Genomic DNA, 23360 nt, shown 5'->3' with positions numbered 1-23360 from the left:
GGCTCTTTTTGCCTGCCGCCATCCACGTAAGGTATGATTTGCCCCTCCTTGCCTTCTGCCATGATTGTGAGGCCTCCCCAGCCACGTGAAACTGTGAGTACAATTAAGCGTCTTTCTTTTGTAAATTGCCCAGTCTCCGGTAGGTCTTTTATCAGTAGCGTGAAAACGGACTAATACACTAACAAACCATAAACCAGCACTTCCAGCCCAGATCTTCTCCTGAGAAGGATAGGGAACACAAATGGCTCCACACTTTTTGGCGGTGTAGTGACATTCCATTGTCCTGGTGTTTCTTGTCACCCCCAGACATTCGGCAGTCCGTTTCCGAACTCTCCTTCTTTCTTCTCATGTCTGAAAATGAGCGTTCTCTAAGGGTCTACCATTATTCCTCTCTTTACCCCACACTTCATTTTAGATGATCAGCCATTGTCTGGGCTTCTCTGACATCTCCCCAAGGAAAAAAATAGAGACGGCAAGACTAGGTGTATTCACTTGGTATTTTAAGGCATTTGTGATAGTATCAATACATCTCTTCCTGACCCCTATACCGCTCCATCTGGATATTCTTCCAAAAGCTGAAGTTCAACATGTCCAGTAACGAATTCCAATTTATACTAAGCAAAGCATCACACATACGCCACAGTTTACTCTATAGAATAGTTATCATATTTATAATAATGAAAATTATAAATAAAATCTCCAATGACAAAAAAGCTAACTGTATTTTTAAAGCAGATTATAATGCTAGAAACAGGCACACACACACACGCACACACATGTACGAATGATCTAAATTTCTTCAAAGAACAACTTGTACAACGAAGATTTATTTGGCCCTTTCTGGTTGTCAGACATTGTGTTCTGCAGATTCGACACAGGAGAGCATGTCTGCAACTCGCACATAATATTTAGTACTAAATGAATCTACCAAAAATGCTGAAAACCAGTGGCTATCTCTTAGAAACCATGATTATAGTCACTTATGGCCATTTTAAATTTCTTGCTTTCTCTTTGTTATTTACTGCAAATTATTTAAAATGTGTGTTTATTGTATAATCAAAAGTTATTTTAAACAAAAAAAAATAAAAACTCATGGCTCTCTCCCTCACGTGTTCCTAATCCAGCTCCCTTTCCCTCTTTATTGCCGGTTCAGGGCCTAGCAATAAGAATATTGGTGGTTTCTGTCTCCTCTTGCCTCATTGGATCCATTTCCAACTCATCAGTGATTTCTTCCCTCTTTTTCTGAAATGTCCACCTGTTTCCATCATTCGGCAGGCACTTCTCTGGTGTGTTTAGCTGGAGCAAGCTTCCTCTAACCACCTCTATCAAAAGCACACCCAACCTGTCCTCCCATCTACACCTCCACTTTCTCCATCACCATTCCCGTCATCACTCACTTGAACTCCAGGCCCGCTGTGCCTACACCTCCATCCCGAGTCATCACTCCTCAAATGACCCACACATGTGCACTCCTTTCGTTGATTTGTAAGCTCTTAAATCTCGTGGTCCTGTCATCACTTCCTTTCATGCAAGCCTGAACACACATCTAAAATGAATTATCAGGCCAAGCCTGGTGGCTCATGTCTGTAACACCAGCACTTTGGGAGGCCGAGGCGGGCAGATCATTTGAGGTCAGGAGTTCGAGACTAGCCTGACCAACATGGTGAAACTACTAAAAATACAAAAACAAAATTATCTGGGCACGGTGGCGTGCACGTGTAATCCCAGCTACTTGGGAGAATGAGGCAGGAGAATTGCTTGAACCCGGGAGGTGGAGGTTCCAGTGAGCCGAGATCATGCCACTGCACTCCAGCCTGGGCAACAGAGACTCCGTCTCAAAAAAATAAAATAAAATAAAATGAGTTACCTGTAACTCACATCTTCTGTCCCTCATTCAGATTCACTCTCAGCTCTTTCCCCCTCTGCTCTGTGTCCTGAGGGGTTGACACCATGGGCTCCATCCCTGGGATAGCTAGTCATCAGCAGGATTCATCCATGGGACCTGTGAATGAGGAAGGCAAAATTAGGGCCTTTGTTCCTCAACCCTCTCTGTGAGAAGCAAGGCAGCTGGGCCCTTCCCCAGCACACCCCACCCTGGAGGCCCACCCTGTCCACATAGCCTCTCACTGCAGGTCCCAGCGAGGTTTTCCCTTGCTCCAATTCAGTCTCAGGAGAAGAGCCTGCACCCACTCCTAGTAAGTTCTTGTGGTCCCCTGTGACCCGCCCACTCCTATGTGAGCAGCCCCTTACGAAAATCCTCCAATTGTTCTAGTTGAATGTGTCACTCATTTCTGGCAGTTCTAGCATATTCCAGTAGATGGTCTGTTCTGCTGGGTGGAGGAGAGCGGGAGAAGAGATATGGGCACTGGGAAACCCTAGCCCAATTGAGATGGGTAAATTTAGAAGGTGTCATCATCATTTTACTTCAAAGACTCTAGATTTCCAGGGTGTCATATATATCAATATTTAAATATTAAGGCAAGAATTCCAGTCCTGCATGGATCAATAGTAATTATTTTAGAATAGTCGGATACATTGATTTATCCGCATCTCTGACCCCATCCACTAACACGAGTAAGCAGGAGTTGCATGTGTGGTTACATATACGAGGGGCGTGGGGCGTCTTGGCCAGGCGGTGTCCCACGATGGCGCTTGCCGGATAACCTGCACTCAGCCTCTATTCTTGGAGTTAGAGTGTTTGATCTTCACATTGCTACTCACGTCCATGTTGGTAAACACTTAGGAAAAACGGAAGCGTGGCAGTTTTTTTAATTCTATAGAGTTTATACTAAAGGGCATCAAAACCACCCTCTCTTTTACCTTTTACCATGCACAGAATTTATTACCATTTAAAATAATTTTTCAAAAGTCTCATCTAATTCCCGGTGGAACTTCTGGAGGAGAGGTGACTGGGCAGCTGTGTGTGTTGTGCTGGTAGAACTGGGATCGGGTCACCTGACGAAGGAGATGCAATTTACTTAATAAAAGTTGAATCACTGAGCAGTCAATCTTTATTCTGTGCTGATAAAAAATGGTGTCCAGTAAGAAATAAACTCAGACTGGGCAAAGAGAGACGATATTCAGCAGGGTTATTGCAAAGGAGAGAAAGTGACTATGGCCACAGAGGGAGGAGGTCATTGCCACGGGGAGAAGTCTCCACCCGTAAAGTCTGCATGTCTCCCAAGGATTAGGAAAAGGGTTTTTCTTTTCTAAGGAGAAGTGAACAGAGCTAGATAAACTGGGTGTGCAGGTCCGGAAATGCTTTCCCTCGAGGTTGGTCTGTTCTCAGGAGGGACTGGTGACAGGGCTGTCTATGGGGCTCAGACTGTGTGTGGGGACCTGGAGAAGGTGAAAAGCTTGGCCTGTGTTTGACTCACAAGCATGACGTCTGACACATCAGCGGGAACAAGCGATACAGCTAATCATGCATGAGGCACGGAGTTCGAGGGACTCGTCTGGATCTCACCTAAGCCGCATGGGGCGGGCGGCACCTTGTAGTGAGCTGTTTGCAGGAACACCACGGTGAGATTTCTTACCCTTCACCATTTTCCAGGATCACAGGGCTCAGTTGAAGTCCAAGACTGTCAGAGGTGTGGATAAAGTTAAAATATTTAACCTTCTCATGTAAACATAAGGTAAAATTTTATTGTTCTTTTCCCCAAATATGATAGTAGATATTTTCAGAATAGAGAATGTGGAAGCGTAATAAAGTCTTCTTAGCTCAAGATCTCAAAAAAAAAAAGCAGAATATATTCTTAATTCTTTAAAATTGTTTAGGATGTAATTCACTTAGGGAACCAATGTCTTTTGTAGAGCCTGATTAATTTTGAGACATGAGCTTTGGACCCAGACCTGAGCTGGACTCTTGCTTCACTTCACTTCACCGAGCTGCGTGGGCTTGGAGGGATGGTATGTTCTGTAACCTCATCTGCAAAACGGGGACGTAAAAGCAACTGTCTCAGAGTGACCGAAAGACCAAGTGAGCTCATACATGCAAAATGTTGTCACTGTGTCTGCTCCATATTCAGAAATATTTAATAAATGAGGATTATTCTTATTAATAATATTAATATATGAATAAGATAATGTTTCCTTTCACATCTTCATTGCAAAGATAACAGAAACTACAATATTTAAAAACAAAATGCTGGCTGGGTGCGGTGGCTCATGCCTGTAATCCCAGCACTTTGGGAGGCTAAGGTGAGAGGATTGCTTGAGCTCAGGAGTTTGAGACCAGCCTGGGGAACATGGTCGTCTCCACAAAAAGTACAAAAATTAGCTGGGCATGGTGGCACATGCCTGTAGTGTCAGCTACTGGGGAGGCTAAGGCAGGAGGATCAATTGAGTCCAGAAGGTGGAGGTTGCAGTGAACCGAGATCACACCACTGCATACCAGCCTGGGTGACAGAATGAGACCTCATCTCAAAAAAAGAAAAAAATAAGTAAAATAAAACATCATATAATATGATTATCATTAATACAAATTAAGTCATTTGAAGGATATCAACTTTTTATTTCTTTCTAACTTATGGTCATGCTTTAAAATTTAATTACTATAATTGTTAAAATCCGATAAATGCTTCAGGACAGGTATTTTCCTTTTATATGTTCTACCAGGACAGCATTATCAAAAATATATTGAAATTAGTGCAAACCAAAATGAACCACACATAAAAAGCATACAATGTAAGTTTTTTCTTATATTTCACATTTCTAATTGTAGAGAGGAAATACCACATTTAAGTTGAAAATCAATTAATTATAACATTAGAAATGAAATCGTAGAAACATTAGGAAACTCACAACTTGAAAGGCATCTTCTTCATGAAACGTACACTGGCTCTTAAGTACAGTACAGTGCTGAGAATGTCACTGTACTCTTATTACAGGAGGTAATGAGGTCTTACATTGGGGAAAATTGAAAGACTAGAGTATTTTATTGGTATAACTTTCTAAAATGATTACTTAGGAAGCTATTAAATGGATAATTCATCAGAAGAGTAGAATATGGAAGCTGTGGGATTAAAAGTAACCCTTGTCCTTGAACATTATTTCTACCATTTTTACACATTCCAGTACTGGTTCCTGTTTCCCAGCCTCCCCTTCCCTCACTCCCAAAACCTTCCCCCGCCTTCCGCAGACTGTTTCATAGCTTCACATCTTTGTACACGCTGCTCCTCTTAACTAGACGTATGTGCACCTAGCGCACCCTGACGCATCCTTGTTCGCCCCTGGTTCAGCCACCGTCTTCTCTGAGAAGCCCTATGTGGGACTGCAGCTGGATGTCAATGCCATTGACCCCGGGGCCCTGGACCCTCTGTATCCGGCACTCCTACTGCTATATTCCCAGTAACGGGTTGAAATGGACCCACTGTCATGTGCCTCTTATGTTCTGTGCTAGGAGCTCCTTACAGATAGAGGCTTAATCCTAGGATCTTTGTGCCTCGAGGATTTGGCATCATGCTCCGCGTAGAGTAGGGGCTGGATAAATGTCTGTTGTGTTAAGTTTATTTCAACATTTTTATGCCAAATGGCAAAATGTAGACTGTAAGTCAAACATCGAAGCTAGAGGATGCAATATCTTTATGTGAAGGAAAAGCCATCTCTCTTAGAAGTGTCTTCAGAGGAAGCCATTGTAGGCGCAGAGCAAACATTCCTGGGCACCACATGGAACCGAAGGAAACTGAGTTTTGGGAAGTGGAGTTTTTGTAGGCAGGAGCCTTACATAGCACAGGTTGGGGCAGAGGATAGAAATTGTGACTTATTATTGGAATCCATATGCTGTTCCCAAGATGACAGAGGTTCCATTCAGATCTTTTACATATAATTTGGTTGTAATATATTGGTGAGGGTTGGGGGAGGGTTTTTTTTTTTGTATGACGAGGTTAGGGAAAAATTGAAGAGGAAAAATGAAAGGTAGGAAAAGTGTTCTCCATAAGGTAAGAGAGACACGCAGTGAGGAAGAGGGAGGAAGCCGCCTTGAGAGATTGAGAGATACAGACTGGGTGTGTGTGTTGGGGGGTGTCTGTGACATCATAAGTATTAAGTCCTGTATTTGCAAGTAAACTAAGTGTTGGGTGGATGAGCAGAATGAGCACACTCACTCACGGGCACTGTGAGGGCAGCACATGTTTTTGTTTTTGTTTTTTTAATTTTATTTTAAGTTCTGGGATACATGTGCTGAACGTGCAGGTTTGTTACACAGGTATACATGTGCCATGGTGGTTTGCTGCACCCGTCAACCCGTCATCTAGGTTTTAAGCCCTACATGCATGAATGCATTAGGTATTTGTCCTAATGCTCCCCCTTCCCTTGCCTCCCACCCCCCAGCAGGCCCCGGTTTGTGCAACACGTTTTAAAAAATGGTAGGGGTAAACTATCTGAAATACAATGAAAGTGTTTTCACCATGAATTGATGTGAGAGGGGAAAGGTTAGGGCTTCACGATTATTTTTAGAAAATAAGAAAGACTAAAAATGTAAAAACAACGAACCAGGCAATCAAGAGATAGTATCACACAAGATGTTTTCTAATTTTGGGCTCTCGGGGGCTCAGGCCTGTGAGCTCTAAGTTGAAGCCGCAGAATCCCAGGTCATGGAGGAAGGGTTATAAATCCATAGGCTGGGAAATCTGCCCTCCAAGAACACGCCCTCGCTCACTGAGTCTGAGTCATGTAGTACAAAACCTGGCCTTGGATATAAGATTCTCTAATTTACCTGTTCCTCCCCCAGTTAAACGACGCTTAGACGGGGGCGCACGGTGACAGATGCGGCCCCGGCACAGGGGCACTGGCGTTGAGATTCCACATCAGCATCGGTGGGAACCTGGGAGAACTATTGCGCCTTTTGCAGACCCAGCCTGGATTCTATTTTTAGTTTTCTAATCCTGTAATACTCTTTCCTAGGGATCTGCATCCAATATCCTTGAAGTATCAAAATTTGCTTCCTCTGAAATGAATGGATATAAAATATACTGTTAGTATTATAATAACTGAAATCAACAAGTTACAATTCATGACTGTTGCTTCATTTTTTCTAATTTTAGAGGGCTTAATGAATCTGTTCATGTTGTTCCAGTATTCCTTAATGATTTACTTTAAAATGATTTATTTTTAAAGGGTAGAACCTTCTTCAAACAAGGACCACTGAGTATAATTTCCTAAGAGACGATTTGTGAGTTTCCATGCATGAGTCTATGGCTAAGGTTGAAATTTAGAAGTTGGCAGCATCTAACCAAGGAAGTATTGAAAATTACAATAAAATGCCCGAATTGTCTCTTTATGTGGTTATGTAAACTGATGTTAATTTTCGTGAGGGGAAATAGAAGAGGGCTACTACAGCAGAATGGCAGAGAGATGCCTCTGCAGCAACAGAACGAATACTTGCTTTAAAAAAAATGTCAAAATGTGGATGTGCCTCCAATCATTTAAAAAATAGAAGGTGATAAGTTGAAAATGTCAGGTAATTGGCAGACAGATAGAAAGTTAAACTGTGTCCTCAGTGAAGAAAATTAACCAGCAGCTGCCAGCAGGGACCCCAAGGTCATGTGAATGCCAGAATCAAGCAAAGCCCAATCATTCAGAGGGGGTTCTCGGCTGATATTTCCCCTCCCTGGTCATTTTCAGATCTCTTAGGAACTGCCCTGAACTACTGCCAACATGTGTTCATTTCTAAAAATTACATAGATTGTGATTTATTACCCATCACACTACAAAAATCCGCTGCGAATTAAATCAGCCCTTTGTTGAAATTGCTCCCCGGCAATGCACATCATATCATCATAAATGACATTGAAGTTATAGTCTGCAGCCCTCGGCCTCAGCCGCTGATAAGGCCCCACCATGGGACGATCAATACTTACTATTCATTTTTGAAATTATCTCCACATTGATCCCTGAACAAGCGCCAGCAACACAGAGGCACAGTGCCTTTAATACAATAATTATATAAAGGTTTACAGGCTCATCCTCCCAGCCAATAAAAGCTGTCAACTGGCAGGGACAGTTACAATCCTATAATCCATCAAAACGCTGTTCTCTGACCTATGGGCTTCTGGGCTTTCAGGAGACCACGATAAACATGCTCGTGCCGGAGAGGAGAGCCGCACAGACCTGCTAAACAAAGGCTGCAGATGGATGCCACCGATTAACCAAAAATCCTCCAAGTAGCCCAGTGTACTATTTTCTGTTAATGAAGGAAACAATGAAGGATTGTCTATTTGCTAATTGTCATTTACTCAGAAGGAGTGCAGCTAGCCACTTTGCTGTTTTATTTTTTGGTCTTTAATTGATGAGGTTTGACTTTGAACCGGATGATATATGGTAATGAAGTAAGCCCATAGAAATCATGGTGCAGACAGGTATCTTAGGAGAGGAACAAGTGAGTATCTGAGACCAGGGAAGGGAGACGATCAATGGGCAGGGCAAATAGTGTCAGCGCTCACAAACAGGCACACACACATGCGCAATGCACATGTCCCCACACCCAAATATTCATGCACACACACATACACAGGCACTCACAACACACACACAAATGCACCCACAAAAACATACGTACATATATGCACAAGCATATAAACCTGCACATGCAAACACATACGCACATACACATGCAGCGCACACACACATACATGCAATACACATATACATCTACACACGTGCACATGTAAACACACAATACACAAGTACGCACATACACACAGATGTAGACACACGCCTCGCACAAGACACACACAAAAATACATGACACACACATGTTCACATGCAACACATCCATGTGCACACATGCACACAAACACACACATCTCTACACAGAGACACATACACACCCACACACAACTATGCACACAGAAACACATGCACACACAGACACACAGGTACATGCATATACACGCACTCAAACACATCCCCCACAGGCACACACAAACACACCCCTACACACCCATACAGACATATACCGCACAGAATGATAGTAACAAGCCTTCCTGCTCCAGTTTCATTGGATATTGTGCATTCACTAAAGAAGTCTTGCAGCTTGTCCATGCCTGGTGTTTGTATTACCGTTAATATACCACACAGTCATTTACTGAATCCGTTTAATGTGCCCTTGAATTAAATCTTGCTTAGGAAAATATTAATAGGCTGAAAAAAGTTAGCCAAAAATCCTTTGCATTTTCTATTTCATTTTTAACTGTTTTCAATTATGATTAGAAAAACACATTTATTGTAGGAGTATGGCGGGGGTGCTGGAGGGAGAGGCACATTCCATGAGGGTGTAGGGCCCAGATGGCGGACTTCCTCTCCCAGCTGAGCAGTGAGCGGGCAGTCACCCCAAGTGCTCCGGGCGGGGGAGGGATGAGCAGAGGCTGGTGTGGGACGGCCACGGAGCTTCGTGCGCGCACAGATTTAGGGTGCGTAGGTGCTGAAGAAACACAGCTTCGATTTCAATATGGGCTCAGGTCTCAGTGACTTGAACTCTTACCTTAGTCCGAAGCCTGCCTTTCAGGCCTCCACTCGAATTCCTCTGCTGCCTGAGGATTTGGCCAATCTGTTTCAGAGGGGATGTGCATCTCAGTAGTGTCAAACATGACAAGCTACTAACTTTTTAAAGAATTTTGGGAAATTTGTTCATCTTTTAAAATTGTTAATGTCAAAATACTCAGGAGAAATGATCCCTTGGTAGGAAGGGAGCGGGCTCGTGTTATTTTTGTTGGAGTAAATATTTCTACTTTCTGAGTGATTGAATAAGATTTTAGATAAGAAGATTTGAGAAAACTTGGCAGACCAGGTTTATCTACTGTGGGCCAGAACAAGCAAATTGCAGGGCTACACATGGTGGGCAGAAAATGTGAAATCATAGCAATGCGATGAATGCAGAAATTCTTAAAAAATATATGAGATTTGGAGGGTTGCTAAAATTTATGTTAGGCCTTGATATCTTCTGATAGATGAATTTTTAAACTATTGCTTTAAAGTTACGTTGCATGTCAATTACAAGAATGCACTGGAGATAGAAAAATCAGTAAAGCATGAGCCCCACTTTCAAAGCGCCCACAGTTGAGAGGGGACAGCTGAGACATGAGGGGCACCCCAGAAGCATAGTGTACACGTGGCCTCCACAGTGACGAGCAAACCCAGCTCCCAGAGGAAGGGGCACGGGGAGCCTTCTGAGGGAAACCAGGGTCTGGAGGGCACCATCCCAGCATCCCGAGAAGCGGCTGTCCCACAGAGGGTCCTTCCACCCACCCGCCAAGCTTTCCTGGGTCTGTGCACGCTGTCTCTGCCAGAGGACCTCAGTGAGCAACTGAAGACAAGTGGAGAGAATAAAACCTGTGGGAAAATGCAGAGGGAGTCACAGCGGACAGTCCTGCATCCTAACAGAGCATTTGGTGGCACGGACGGTGGCAACTTTGTGTTTCAAACCTAAGTGAATGTCTCAGTGTTGGCTCCTGCAGGCTTCTCTAAGGCATAGCACCAGATGTTGTCTGCAGGGGTTCAAAGTTAGCCCACAGGGAGGTTGCTGATTCTGGCCCACGTCTCACCTGCCCCTGGCTCTTCCAGTGCCAGCTTTGGGCTGCAGACTCAGCACACGCCCATAACCAACTGTCCTGCTTGGACACCACTGCAAGAGGGCGGACTCTCCTCTATGGTGGCAGCACCAGGCAACAGCTGCGGAAAAGTCGCTCTAGGAAGGCATGGGAATGCCAAGAGCTCCTGACCAGGATCCTTCACTGTGACAAAGACCCAGACGTCTATCCTGCCCTTCCTTACAAACGTCTACAAATGATCAAAACACACTTAAAACTCTAAGGGAAAATGTAAAACAAAAGAAGCTTGTTACTTCCCAGAAAAGGAAAGTATGTAATTGAATTGTGAATCGGGAATTTATAATGAAGGCAAAAATCTATTTTAAAATTCTCTCCCGAAAGCCTCTATTTGGAAGTGATCGTGCTCTCTTGAGATGTGCATTTCATATGAGGAATCCCACTAACCAGGACTCTGTCCCCGCTTCTAGAGGAAAGTTTGAAGCTTCTATAAGCATAAAACCTTGAACTGAGTCACTGGGAACCTGTGAGAGGCTTCTGCAGGCACACGGCAGCCTCCACGATGTTCTCTCCTCATTCACGTCTGCCTGCTGCACACCCCAATTCTCACGCACACCGCCGTTCTGGTCTCCTCCCTGCTAACAGGGAATTCCCTGGTAAAAAGGTAAGCCTGTTCACACCTCTGCTTTGCTTAAAAACCTTCAATGGCTTGCCCATTTCTTAAGATAAAGCCCAACATTCTTTTCTCCCCTAGTTATTTAAATTTATTATTTATTCTTAAATTTTATTTCAGTTTCAGAGGTACATGTGCAGGCTTGTGATATAGGTAACTTGTGTGTCACAGTTTGGTGTACAGAATATTTTGTCATCCAGGTAATAAGCCTAGTACCTAATAGATAGTTTGCCACTCCTCTTTCTCTTCCCACCCTCCACCCTCCAGTACCCGTGTCTATGAATAGTCAAAGCTTAGCTCCCATTTGTGAGAATGTACAGTATTTGATTTTCTGTTCCTGGATTAGGTTTCTAAGGATAATGGCCTCTGGTTCCTCCCATGTTACTGAAGAGGACATAATTTTGTTCTTCTTCATGGCTATGTAGTATTCCATGGTGTATATGTACCACATTTTCTGCACCCAATCTTCTGTTGATGGACATTTAGGGTGATTCCATGATTTTGCTATTGTGAAAAGTGCTGTGACAGACATATGCATGCAAGTGTCTTTATGCTGTGATGGACATATGTGTGCATGTGTCTTTATACTGTGATGAACACACATGTGCATGTGTGTTTATGCTCTGACGGACACACACATGCAAGTGTCTTTATGCTGTGATGGACTTATGTGTGCATGAGTCTTTATGCTGCCATGGACACTCATGTGCACGTGTCTTTATACTGCAATGGACACACACATGCCTGTGTCCTTACGCTGTGACGGACACACATGTGCCTGTGTCTTTATGCTGCGGTGGACACACACATGCCTGTGTCTTTATGCTGCGGACACACAGGTGCCTGTGTCTTTATGCTGCGGTGGACATACACATGCCTGTGTCTTTATGCTGTGGAAACACAGGTGCCTGTGTCTTTATGCTCCAACAGACATACACATGCAAGTGTCTTTATGCTGTGATGACCACACACGTGCATGTGTCTTTATGGACCTAGAGCAGGCTCTTCTGAGCTCAGTGATTTCATTTTGTACCACTTTTACCCTTGGCCAGGATACCCCAGCCTTATCTCCGTACTCCACAGCCCTGTGGTCCCCTACTCTGGAACCTTGTGCTACAGATTCCTTCATCTCGAATGCCCTCGACCTCCATTCTTCCCTTTCCCACCTTTACTTTCATCCTAGTAACTCTCCACATCCCAGCTTATAGGATCTGTCTGGTGCCAGCTGCCCTACTGCTCTAGTCCTCTCCTCTGCTAGCACTTGCCCCACGTTTAAGTGAATATGTGGGAGATGGTTATACAAAGTCCCACCCACTTACAGGACTGTAAGTTCTTAAAGACAGAAAAAAGTCCTTTTCATTTGATGATGATATTTCTAGTGCAAAACACAGTGACCTAAAACTGCTGCCACTCTACAAAGATTTGTCAAATGAATAAAAAAGTGATTCCTGGCTGGGCGCAGTGTCTCACACTTGTAATCCCAGCACTTTGGGAGGCAGAGGCGGGTGGATCATGAGGTCAGGAGATGAAGACCACCCTGGCCAACATGGTGAAACCCCATCTCTACTAAAATACAAAAAATTAGCCCAGCATGGTGGCGGGTGCCTGCAGTTCCAGCTACTGGGGAGGCTGAGGCAGGGGAATCGCTAGAGCCTGGGAGGCGGAGCTTGCAGTGAGCCGAGATCACGCCACCGCACTCCAGCCTGGCAACAGAGCGAGACTCCATCTCAAAAACAAAAAAATAAAAAAAAAAGGAACAAAAACAAAGTGATTCCCACCCAGGTCTTTTTGACCACGGGGTTAAAAGCCTCTACCTAAAGTGTTTTAGGTCTCTAATGTTATTTTTCATCTTCATCAAATGAGGAGCGTATTTTTATTATGCTAAAAAATACATAACATAAATCTTAACAGCTGAACCAGTTTTCAGTGCATCTTAGTAGCATGAAGTGTATTCGCAGGGCTGTGAAACAGAGCTCCATGGGATCCTCCCCAGCCACGGCCGCGTCTGACAGCACCCCTGCGGGACACCAGGCCTCCAGTTCTCCACACCTTTGCAACACTTGCTCCTTTCTGTTTTTGTGTTTTTAATAGTTGCCATCCTAATGGGTGTGCCAGTTTACTCAGTGTGGTTTTCCTTCGTGTCTCCGACCTTTACTGATGTTGAGCACCTTTTGGAGCTTTTTGAATTCGAGTTCAGTGAGGGTTTTTGTTGTGATTGTCTCATTCCCGTTGAATTCATGACTCCTGCATCCCCAGGAGCCTCTCACTGAGGTTGGTGTTCACCTAGTGAGCGTGCGTATGTGACATTTGAGAAGTCTATGTAATGCTCAGAGAGTGGAAACTGAGTCCAGTATCTACCATCTTTAGACTACATAATGCCTTTAAGACTTCAAATATCAATCATCAGTCTTTCTATTTGCACCTCTAATTAATCTCACCATTCTGCTTACCCACCTTTCCTGCTTTCCCGGCTGGTTAATTCTCTGTGGCAGGGACCGTCCTGGTCAGGGTGTAGCCATGTCCCTGACCTCCCCATACAAGACAGCAGCATCCCTCTATTCCAGTTGTGGCAACCATTTTTTCAACACCCCCAAATATTGCCTAATGCTCCTTGGTTGGTGTGGGGGTGTTTGAGAGCCCCTGCTGTTGTTTTTTCTCTTGCCAAAATCCTATGTTCACCTTCATAAGCAGCAGGCCCTTTTTGGCAGAGCACCAGCCCACACTGGGGCTGGGATCCTGATCTTTGGTCTGAAACATGCAGCCAGGGCTTACCATCTTTTGGATGTGCAGGCTGCTGGGGGGCCTGATCTTTGCCAGGGAGGTCTCTCACCATTTTGCTCAGTTGATATTTTGTTCTTTCCTTTATTCCTGAGCTGTTCAGCATGAGGCGACTCAGAAGGAGCATGAGCAGAGATGACCCTAATAGGTGGTGCCAACACAGTTTCCCTGAGAAGTTGAAATCGAGGACTGGTGCCCACTGAGGAGGTCTGAGGAGAGGAGGACTCAGAGCAGCCAGGTGAGGATTCAGGAGCGCGACTTTCGAGAACAGAACAGTAAAGTGTGTGCTCAGAGTCCGTGGGGGCAGCATCAGGGCTTCCACTCTTGCATGCCGTGCTACACTGGAGTCCCATTCTACACCACCTGCCCACACACAGCTCTGCTGAGGCACGAGGCCCCGTGGGTGCAGCACCATCTTCTCGAGGGTATCCTTCCTTGCTGCAGCGTCTTATCTGTGTGCAGCTGCAGGTGTTCCTTAGCAGGGTCTCCATATAGATGACTGCGCTTGAAACATTTCAAATCTCCTCCTATTTCAAACTGCTTTATAAATCCTTGTAGGAGTGACCAATGTATATCATATTACCCCACAATACAGAAAGGAATCTTCATCAGTAATTTAAGTTATAGAAAGTTAAGTTGTTGTAAACTAGGAGATCAAGAGGGGGGCGCCTCATCTATGTGAATCCTGTGACCCCCACAAATATTATAGAAGCAATATGAGAGGAAGTTCATGGCGACCCCACGCATATTATAGAAGCAACACAGGAGGAAGTTCATGGTGACCCCACGCGTATTATAGAAGCAATACGGGAGGAAGTTCATGGTAACTCCACGCGTATTATAGAAGCAACACGGGAGGAAGTTCATGGCGACCCCACGCATATTATGGAAGCAACACGGGAGGAAGTTCATGGCGACCCCACGCATATTATGGAAGCAATACGGGAGGAAGTTCATGGCGACCCCACGCTTATTATAGAAGCAACACGGGAGGAAGTTCATGGCGACTCCACGCATATTATAGAAACAACACGGGAGGAAGTTCATGGCGACCCCACGCATATTATGGAAGCAACACGGGAGGAAGTTCATGGCGACCCCACGCATATTATGGAAACAATACGGGAGGAAGTTCATGGCGACCCCACGCATATTATAGAAGCAACACGGGAGGAAGTTCATGGCGACTCCACGCATATTATAGAAACAATACGGGAGGAAGTTCATGGTGACCCCACGCATATAATACAAGTAACACGGGAGGAAGTTCATGGGGACCAGGGGTAAGGTCTTCAGGAAGAAGTGTGACTTGGTAGGTGGTGAAGTGAATGGCATACTTTTCAAAGCTAGAGGCTCAACCAAGAAGAAAAGATAACAGGGTAGAAATGCGTAGGGGTAGGAAAGGGGAGTGACAGGAGTGATGGGAGAAGCCAGTCCAGGAAGAGCCGGGTCTTCAGCTGAACACCAGGTTTTCGCCAGCGTGAGAAGGTGAATAATTTGAGGAAGAGGTTCTGGATGAAGGGAATTTAGCTCATAAAAGCCTGCGAGCTCCAGGGTGCAGGGGGAAGCTGGGTGTGGGGAAGTAGGGAGGGCAGGAATGGAGTCCCCCCTTCTTGGGACACAGACACACAGCCCCTTGGGATGAGCGGCCCGGGCCTGGGTGGTCCCTGGCACCGGCCTCAGATGGGAATGATATGAGAATGTGCGGCCTGTGCTTTAGCCTTGGACGGCTGCTCAACAAACTGCCCCCAGACACGACGTGCCAAAACAGCGATGATGAATAGCTGTCTTCTCGTTCGTTTCTGTGGGTCACAGGTTTGGGATCAGCTGAACCTGTGATTCTGGAGCAGCTCTTTGGGGAAGCTGCTATCAACATGCTGGCCAGACTGCAGCCATCGGAGGCTTAGCCAGGATCTGCTTCGAGGGGGTCACCTGGAGGGCTACTGTTGGATGTCCCATTCCTCACCATCCCTGTGTCTCTCTAGCGGTGCTGGGGTGTCCTCTGGCCTCCCCCGGAGCCAGGAGCTAAGTTAGAGTGAGGCAGAAGCTGGGGTAGCTTCATGGCCCGGTTGCCCTCACTCACTTCGGCAGTCAGCCCTACTCAGTGTGGTAGAGGGTCACAAATATGGATGCCACGGGGTGGGGGGTCCCCTGGAGGCTCACCGTGATAAGGAGGTTTGGGGAGTACGTCTGTGAGTTATTGACAGGGGCAAGGAGGGTGGGCTGCTTTGATCAGAGTATTCGGAGGTCCTGTCCTGGACATGTGTAGCGGGAATGGCTTGTGTGACAGAGACTAGGAGGCGTGGAGCACCCCAATCCTGGAGCCCTGGGGCTGCATCTCCCCAGGGACTGCAGACAGGCACTGCTCCAGATGTCCACGAGCTTAGAGGAGAAGCGGGGTTCCGAGGTCCCTTTGCTCTGCCACCCATGGCATTGTCAGGGCTGGAGGAGAATCGCTGCGACCTGGACCAGGCAGGGCTCCCAGGGCCACCCCTTCTCTCTGGGCCCCGGGGGAGGCCAGTGGTGGAGGAGGGGCATCTTGTCTGGACGCCAACCTACATATGACAGCAGAAACAGACATGAGGATCCTGAGTCCTGGAGGGGCAGGACTGCAGTTTTATGAACGTCGAATGTTTCCGAAATCTCTTCTGGAGAGCGGACGTGACCCCCGCTGGAGAGAGACAGCTGGCATTAGCCGACAGGGATTTGAGGAAAGTTGGATTCAAGGTCATCCAGGGAGGTGATCAATCAATAGAAAGAATCTCTTTCCACTCTCATAGGGTGGGAAGGGGAAGGTGTTAGCAGCGGGAAAAGACAGGGACATCAGAAAAATTCTTGGTTCAACAAAAAGGGATTATTATCCGTAATGGCACTACCATTTTTTCTGAGTTAGGTACTTTTTAAAATGTAACCTTTGAAGTCTACTCCCCAGGTAACTATGTGTGATTCATCAGGGCCTTTCTTCTGAAATAACAATGATTAGAGACACCCCTACCCTATGAACAATCACCGAAAAGGTGGGACTATCCATTATTTTTCTGTTCTGTTTTTTTCAAGGATGGGCTTCCTGAATATTCATTCAATTTATGTGCGGATAGGGTAGCCAAGGAGGAAGCTGAGCAAACTAGAGATGCCACCAATACAGTGGGGTTCATCGGAAGTCTCTTGATGGAAAGTTTCAGACGTGGGGAGTTTGCCCACCAGGCTCCAATGCTGTGATTCTTCCAGGGAATGTCTTCTTCAATAACATCTCACTTCCCCCACGAATCATTTCTGATTCTCAGCATTCCACTAGATAATCGCGTGGGATTGTGCTAAAATGCGGTCACGTAAAGATATATATGAAACCCTCAACATCCTTGAGGTGCCTTGTCTTGTATTTTTATTTAATTGCTTTCGACTTGTAACAATGGGGAAGTACTGAGCTGTGGAGAACAGCACTGGCCGGAACCGCAGACGATGTATCTATTATCTCGCGTGCATGAAGGTCGTCGACCTATGACAGTTGGAGTAGCAGAAACATTAGAAATCATGTGCAATTTAATCTTTACACAAATAAAGGAAAACTATCACAATGCCTGAATAATGAAGACTCCCGGAGAAAAAGAAAGGCCTGTCCCCGAGGATGCTCTTCATTTTCTCTCCTGGACTCAGCGCGGCGTGCACCCGGCGAGATTCACTCCGCGCTGACACACGTATTAATGGTATTCTGGCTGGAAGAGAGTGGATGTTCTCCGGTGATTGCCCGTGCAGCTGTGACTCAGTTCTCCTCTCCCTCACTCATTACTGCCTCGTGTCAACTCCCGGAGACCATTGTTCCCTGAAAAACTGTCATCCAGAGTGAAATTAACTGTTTTCCCTTCTATTTCAACTAAGAATGTTTCATGTCCCTGACTTTTCAGAATACACTGCAGTTTCCTAAATCTTCTAGAAAGTTACAAAGACCAGACACACGGGTTCTAAGCCAACATGAAAAGAAAGTTCAAACACAACTCTGAGAATTATAAATTGGGGGTGTTTGAGGCAGAATTAAAATGTCGAGATGCCCTGGTGTGTGACAACAAGGAATGCTTAATGCATGAGCTGCCTTAGAAGGTTTGAGATGCAGCAGGAGGAAGTGGGGGGTGCACTCAGCCTAGATCATGTTGGAGCATTCCTCTCTGTGCACGGCCCCTGAACCAGGTGTTTGGTGGGCATTCAGGAAAACGCTGCCCCTCCATGGAGCAGGAGCAGGATTCAGCCTTGATCATGTAGGAGAATTCCTTTCCATGCACGGCCCCTGGACCAGGCGCTCGGTGGGCATTCTGGAAAGCGCTGCCCCTCCAGCAGGAGCAGAGTTCGGCCCTGATCATGTAGGAGAATTCCTCTCCATGTGCATCCCCTGGACCAGGCGCTCGGCGGGCATTCTGGAAAGCACTCCCTTCCAGCAGGAGCAGGATTCAGGGAAGACACAGAATCTCTCTGCCTGCATCAGCCTACCCTTTCTATGGGACAGAGACAAAAAGGAGGAACCCCCTCAGGCCACACAGCATTCCAGCCACTACTATAGAAGACTCCACACAACCCTAAAATGGGAATAAAGGGTCACGGTAGAACCCGGTAGGAGAACGGCATGGCAGGAGAAAGAGCAAAGACCAATCAGAGGCAGGTGGTTCCTTTAAAGCCTCACTTTTGTCCTATTTAACTACATCATTAACTGTAAGATAACTTTAGATTTACCAAAATGTTGGAAGAGGACCTGCCTAGCCTCCACCCCACCCTCCTGTTGTCAGCGCCTCTGGTTATGAGGGTGTGTTTGCCACAACTGAGGAAGCGGCACTGGGCCAGTGGTGTCAGCTACGCTCACCTTTATCTGGATTTCATTAGGTTTTCCCTAATGCCTCTTCCTGGTCCGGGATCCCACCAAGGACACCACCTCATTCCTAGTTGTGGTGGCTCCTTCAGCTCTTCTTTGCTGTGAGAGTTTCTCAGACTTACCTTGTTCTTGATGGCCTTGACAGTTTTGAGAGATACCAGTCACGTATTTTGTAGAATGGCCTTTAACTGGAATTGGTCTGATGGTTTTTTCAGGATCTACCCCTCTCCTTCACATTGTGATATGTGCATGTAAGCCTACCTGTGTACATGCCTCAATCTCTAATTATCATCTATCTATCTATCTATCTATCTATCTATCTATCTATCTATCATCTATCTATTGGTCTATCAGTCTATCTCTATCTACCTACCTATCTCTCTGTCTGTCTATATATCATCTATTTCTATCTCTATCTATACATTTACCTCTATTTATCTGTCATCTACCTTTCTCTATTATCTATCTCTATGTATCAACTATCCATATCTATCTGTATTGATTATCTATCATCTATATCTATCTATGTATCTCTTTGTCTGTCTGCCTATATATTATCTATTTCTATCTCTGTCTATACATTTACCTCTATCTGTACATTTGCCTCTGTTTATCTTTCATCTACCTTTCTCTATTATCTAACTCCATGTATCAACCATGCATATCTATTAATTATCTATTCTCTATCTGTCTATCTTCTATCAATCATCTATCTTTTCCTCTAACCACCCCCTCCAACAGTGAGAAACTTGGGTTCCACCATCCACCATCCATTTTTTGGTAATTTGTTTAATCTCTGTATACAAGTGCAGGATTTTCATGAGAAACTACAGTGCCAATAAACACTTTGGGCAGTGGCTCTCGGTGCCTCCTGCCCCCCGCTTGCTCCTGGTACATCCCAGTACAAGATGCTCTGACCCCACAGCCATGCTAGGCTCACAGAAGGTGCCTGGGCCCTTGCTTTTGGCACAGGCCCTGTGCGCCATTTCTGGGAGGAGAGCCATGGCGTGTGCCTCCATCAGGCACGTATATAAAAGGCAGATGGGTCCTGCATCTGCAGCCGCCATCCAGCACCAGCCACCCCACCCCGCACAGCTGTGCCACCCTCCCCAGGCAGCCTCGCCAGGGCCCTGCTGGCCCTGCCCCCCACACCCTGCCCAGTTCAAATTAATCGCATCACACCGTGCTGTCCACACAGCCCTGCCACAAATTGCTTTCAGTCCTTTTTCGTGAATTAGTTATAATGGTCGTGTTTATTTAAATTTCAGCTAACCAGCATCCTAAAACTATTGAAGCTTTATATGTATGTATTTTGCTTTGTTTTCATGCCAGGCTGATTAGAAATTACCTCTTACTGGAAACCGAATGTAAATGGAGGGACTCATTTGCCAAATAGAAAGTGTGTTTTTTTTTAATTTGTTTGTTTTGTTTTCCCTCTTTGAAGTGGACATTTTCCTCATGTGATTAGACAAAAAGAATGAGGCTGTGCTGTGCATTTCTGAGAGAAATATGGAGCAGCTCTGACGGGGGAGGGCTCGGGCTTTGGGTGAAGAATTTAACGATGGTGACTCTCCATGAAGGCGCCAAATCGCTAATAGAAGCAGATACTTTCTTAAGTCTACTTGTCCTTCTCCATCAGTGTTCTGAGACGTGTAATTATTGTATTAAATGTGTATGTTTAGCTACTTCTATCCTAAAATGGCTCTTGAGCATAAAAGAATTGCACTTCAAAAAATGAAAAGCTTTATAGAGCCATTTACTATATCAAGTGTGTTATTCTTTGTTTATTTCCAAATAAACTACCATTCAAGCAATGGCTTTTCAAGATAGCCTATCAGTCCTAGTTTCTTTCTGACTTAAGAATATACATAAAATATATTGCTACAAATTCCAATCAATTTAATCATCATCAAAAGTAATAAGCTTCCACATTTGCAGTATCAAAGGCCATTAATATCAGTTTTGAATATCAGAATTCATTAAGTTCATGTGAATGACCTTTCTCGTGCTAGATGCATCAGGCCCCTCCTGAAGTCTCCGACAGCACGCTGTTCATTTAGTTGTGAATTCTAAGGCAAAGACTATGACTCTGGACCACGCATTCAATTAGGGAGGGGAAAACTACCCTCTACTAGAATATCACTGAAGGAAGAAATAGAAGCTCTGAAATGTCCCTTCTCAATAATGTTGGGAAAGGAAGGTTGGGACATTCATCCCCATGACAACTTTTAGAAAGCATAAGTATCCAATTGCTAACATTGATTGCTTATATTATAGAATTAGTTTAATTTTTTATGGTGTCTAAAATATGGTCAAGTCAGAGCAGTAAGTTCTAATTTTGAGTTCTGCCCTGCTCCGAAGCAGAAGGAGAGTGCATGAGATTATATAAAGACTCAGAGAAGAGATACAGCTCCTCCCGCACCAGAGAAATGCAGCTCCGTGAGCCCCGATGGAGCCAGCATGCTGCTGGGTGCTGAGGAGCAGGCAGAGGCACCCAGGATGGCGGTCCCCAAGGAGAACGGAGGCACAGAACAACGCATGAGGGGCCACATGACTTAGGGCCGGGATCGGTCACTCAGCCAGCAAAAACACTGGAAGAAAACAAAACAACTTCAGACTCTATGCTGCATTTCCGTAATATATCTGCCCAAAGACTGGACAACAAAGGTAAAGGAGGCTGATGAGGAAACGAAAGGATCCGTGGTTCTTGGCTCGCTGGGTGGCTCATCAACAAAGCCCCAGCATCACTCCTGCAGATGCCCTAGCCTGGCCTGGGCTGGGATGGGCAAAATTCACCATGGGACTCTTGTTCAAGAGAGGGAGATCAAAGCCAGAAACACTTACCCAGAATGGCCATGCAGACTAAAATTCCAATTCTAAAAATACTTTTAAAATGTAACGTACAACAAAGGAAAGCTGGAAAAATATTTAAAAAAGGATGAAAGGGCAAGAAAAATTCAACCCACGACCTCAAGGCGATTATAATCTGTGTTCTGCTGCTTCCCAGAGCCGCTTCAGTCTTCAGCTCAGAGTCTACCAGACACTAAAATGCAACTGAACACTCAGTTCATACTTGTTCTTCTAATTAGCTGCCTCTTCCATTTGATTAATATTGCCTCCTAATTTAATTGTAAATTGTATTTCTGGTTTATATTTCGCTTCTCCCTCCTGTTGTACCTGGTGACCATCTTCATTAATCATATTGTAGCTTTTTAATGAATCTCATATGCCAATTTATGGTGAACAAGACTTGATATGAAGGCATCTTCATCAAATCATTCATAATCTTGTAACTATTGGTTTATTTTCTGTAACGACCTATAAATGTACACCAAAAAAATGAAAGATTCCCCCTAAAATGTAATGGGACAGAACTTTGTTTACGTAGATTTCTGAGGATGGGTTGAGACGCCAAATTCCGCTTGTGTTTGGAATTTCTATTTCACTGGGCTTAGTGAGGGTGCCCATGTTTTGCAATCCTGTGCTCTAGAATCTATCATAAACAGATTCTTCTAATTGTTTGACATTAAACTGCAAATTTGTGTTTTTGTGTCTGCTCAAATATAAAATGTCTTTGGGAAAAATACAGAGAATGGTTCGTTAGAGCTGCTTCTACTCTTGTGTCTAAGTCCAAATGGCCAATTGAGGAGGACATCTCTGAATACACACCCCAGGCAGCAGGACCAAATTCAAGATTTCTGATTCTGCTGGCTGGGATGTAACCCAACGTATCAGGCACCAAATGGGCTTGCTTTTGTGTTTTTTCATTTCCATTCCTTGGCAGAATCTCTTTTATCTTTGACTCCCCTCACATTCCAGCCTCTTTGTTTTCATAAGTGGAATGGCATTTGTAGGCTAAGCCAAGGACAAAAAGGGAGGCTGTGTGGGGTCACGTTGCAACATAGTGGCTACCCACAATGTCTTTGGCATCCCAAATAGAAATTTCCAACGGCAAATATCCAGGCATGCTTGAAATCCATAAGCGTGCACTCTGCCTCGTTGCGCTTCCACACGACATTGTTTCTCCTTGACACATCGCAAGCCTCAAATCAATGCTGATAGACACAAGAACCCTCTGGCATCCCCTGTGATCTAGGATTTCCCGCGATGTTACTTGCTGTTCTAATTACTCTTTCTTCATGCAAAATATTATAAGTGGCTTGGTTAAGCGCACCCTAAACTGGCCACGTTGCTGTCCTTATAAAAATAAACAAATGCTCCGTTTTTTACACCTCTAAACATGACTTTTCTTTGGAAATGTAGATCCACAGAGTCTCTGGATAACAATAGATTGAAGGCCACTGTCTTGAGTCAGGATTCTCAAGGAAAAGTGATGCAAACCTCACAGCCAAGATCATGGTGTTTGCACCAGAAAAGGTCTGGGAAGGGACAGATGGGGCAGTCCACAGGCTGGATGAAGCCCCCAGAGCCACTCAGCCATCATCTGGTTTGCAGCCCTCCTAGTCAGCATTTCACCTCCAAGGGTGTGGGGGCCATGTCCACCCGGCCT

The 23360-nt window shown here is 45.0% G+C and overlaps 1 long non-coding RNA gene across 1 annotated transcript, besides 1 other annotated feature; it reads left to right on the top strand.

Moving 5' to 3' along the window:
• Positions 1 to 22434, top strand: LINC01029 (long intergenic non-protein coding RNA 1029). The gene is made up of 2 exons (NR_104127.1): positions 1 to 93; positions 21215 to 22434. It is a non-coding gene; the product is annotated as a long intergenic non-protein coding RNA 1029 (long non-coding RNA).
• Positions 22369 to 22937: an enhancer, noted in NCBI's record as "NANOG hESC enhancer chr18:75682747-75683315 (GRCh37/hg19 assembly coordinates)". NCBI's record gives its function as "activates a minimal SCP1, AML or CMV promoter by ChIP-STARR-seq in primed H9 embryonic stem cells {active_cell/tissue: H9 hESC(primed)}" and the evidence as "EXISTENCE:reporter gene assay evidence [ECO:0000049][PMID:30033119]".

Source organism: Homo sapiens, chromosome 18 (assembly GCF_000001405.40).
Source record: "Homo sapiens chromosome 18, GRCh38.p14 Primary Assembly".
In the NCBI taxonomy this organism is placed as follows: Eukaryota; Metazoa; Chordata; class Mammalia; order Primates; family Hominidae; genus Homo; species Homo sapiens.
Note: the sequence above shows the minus strand (reverse complement) of the source record. Positions and strands in the feature narration are given on the sequence as shown.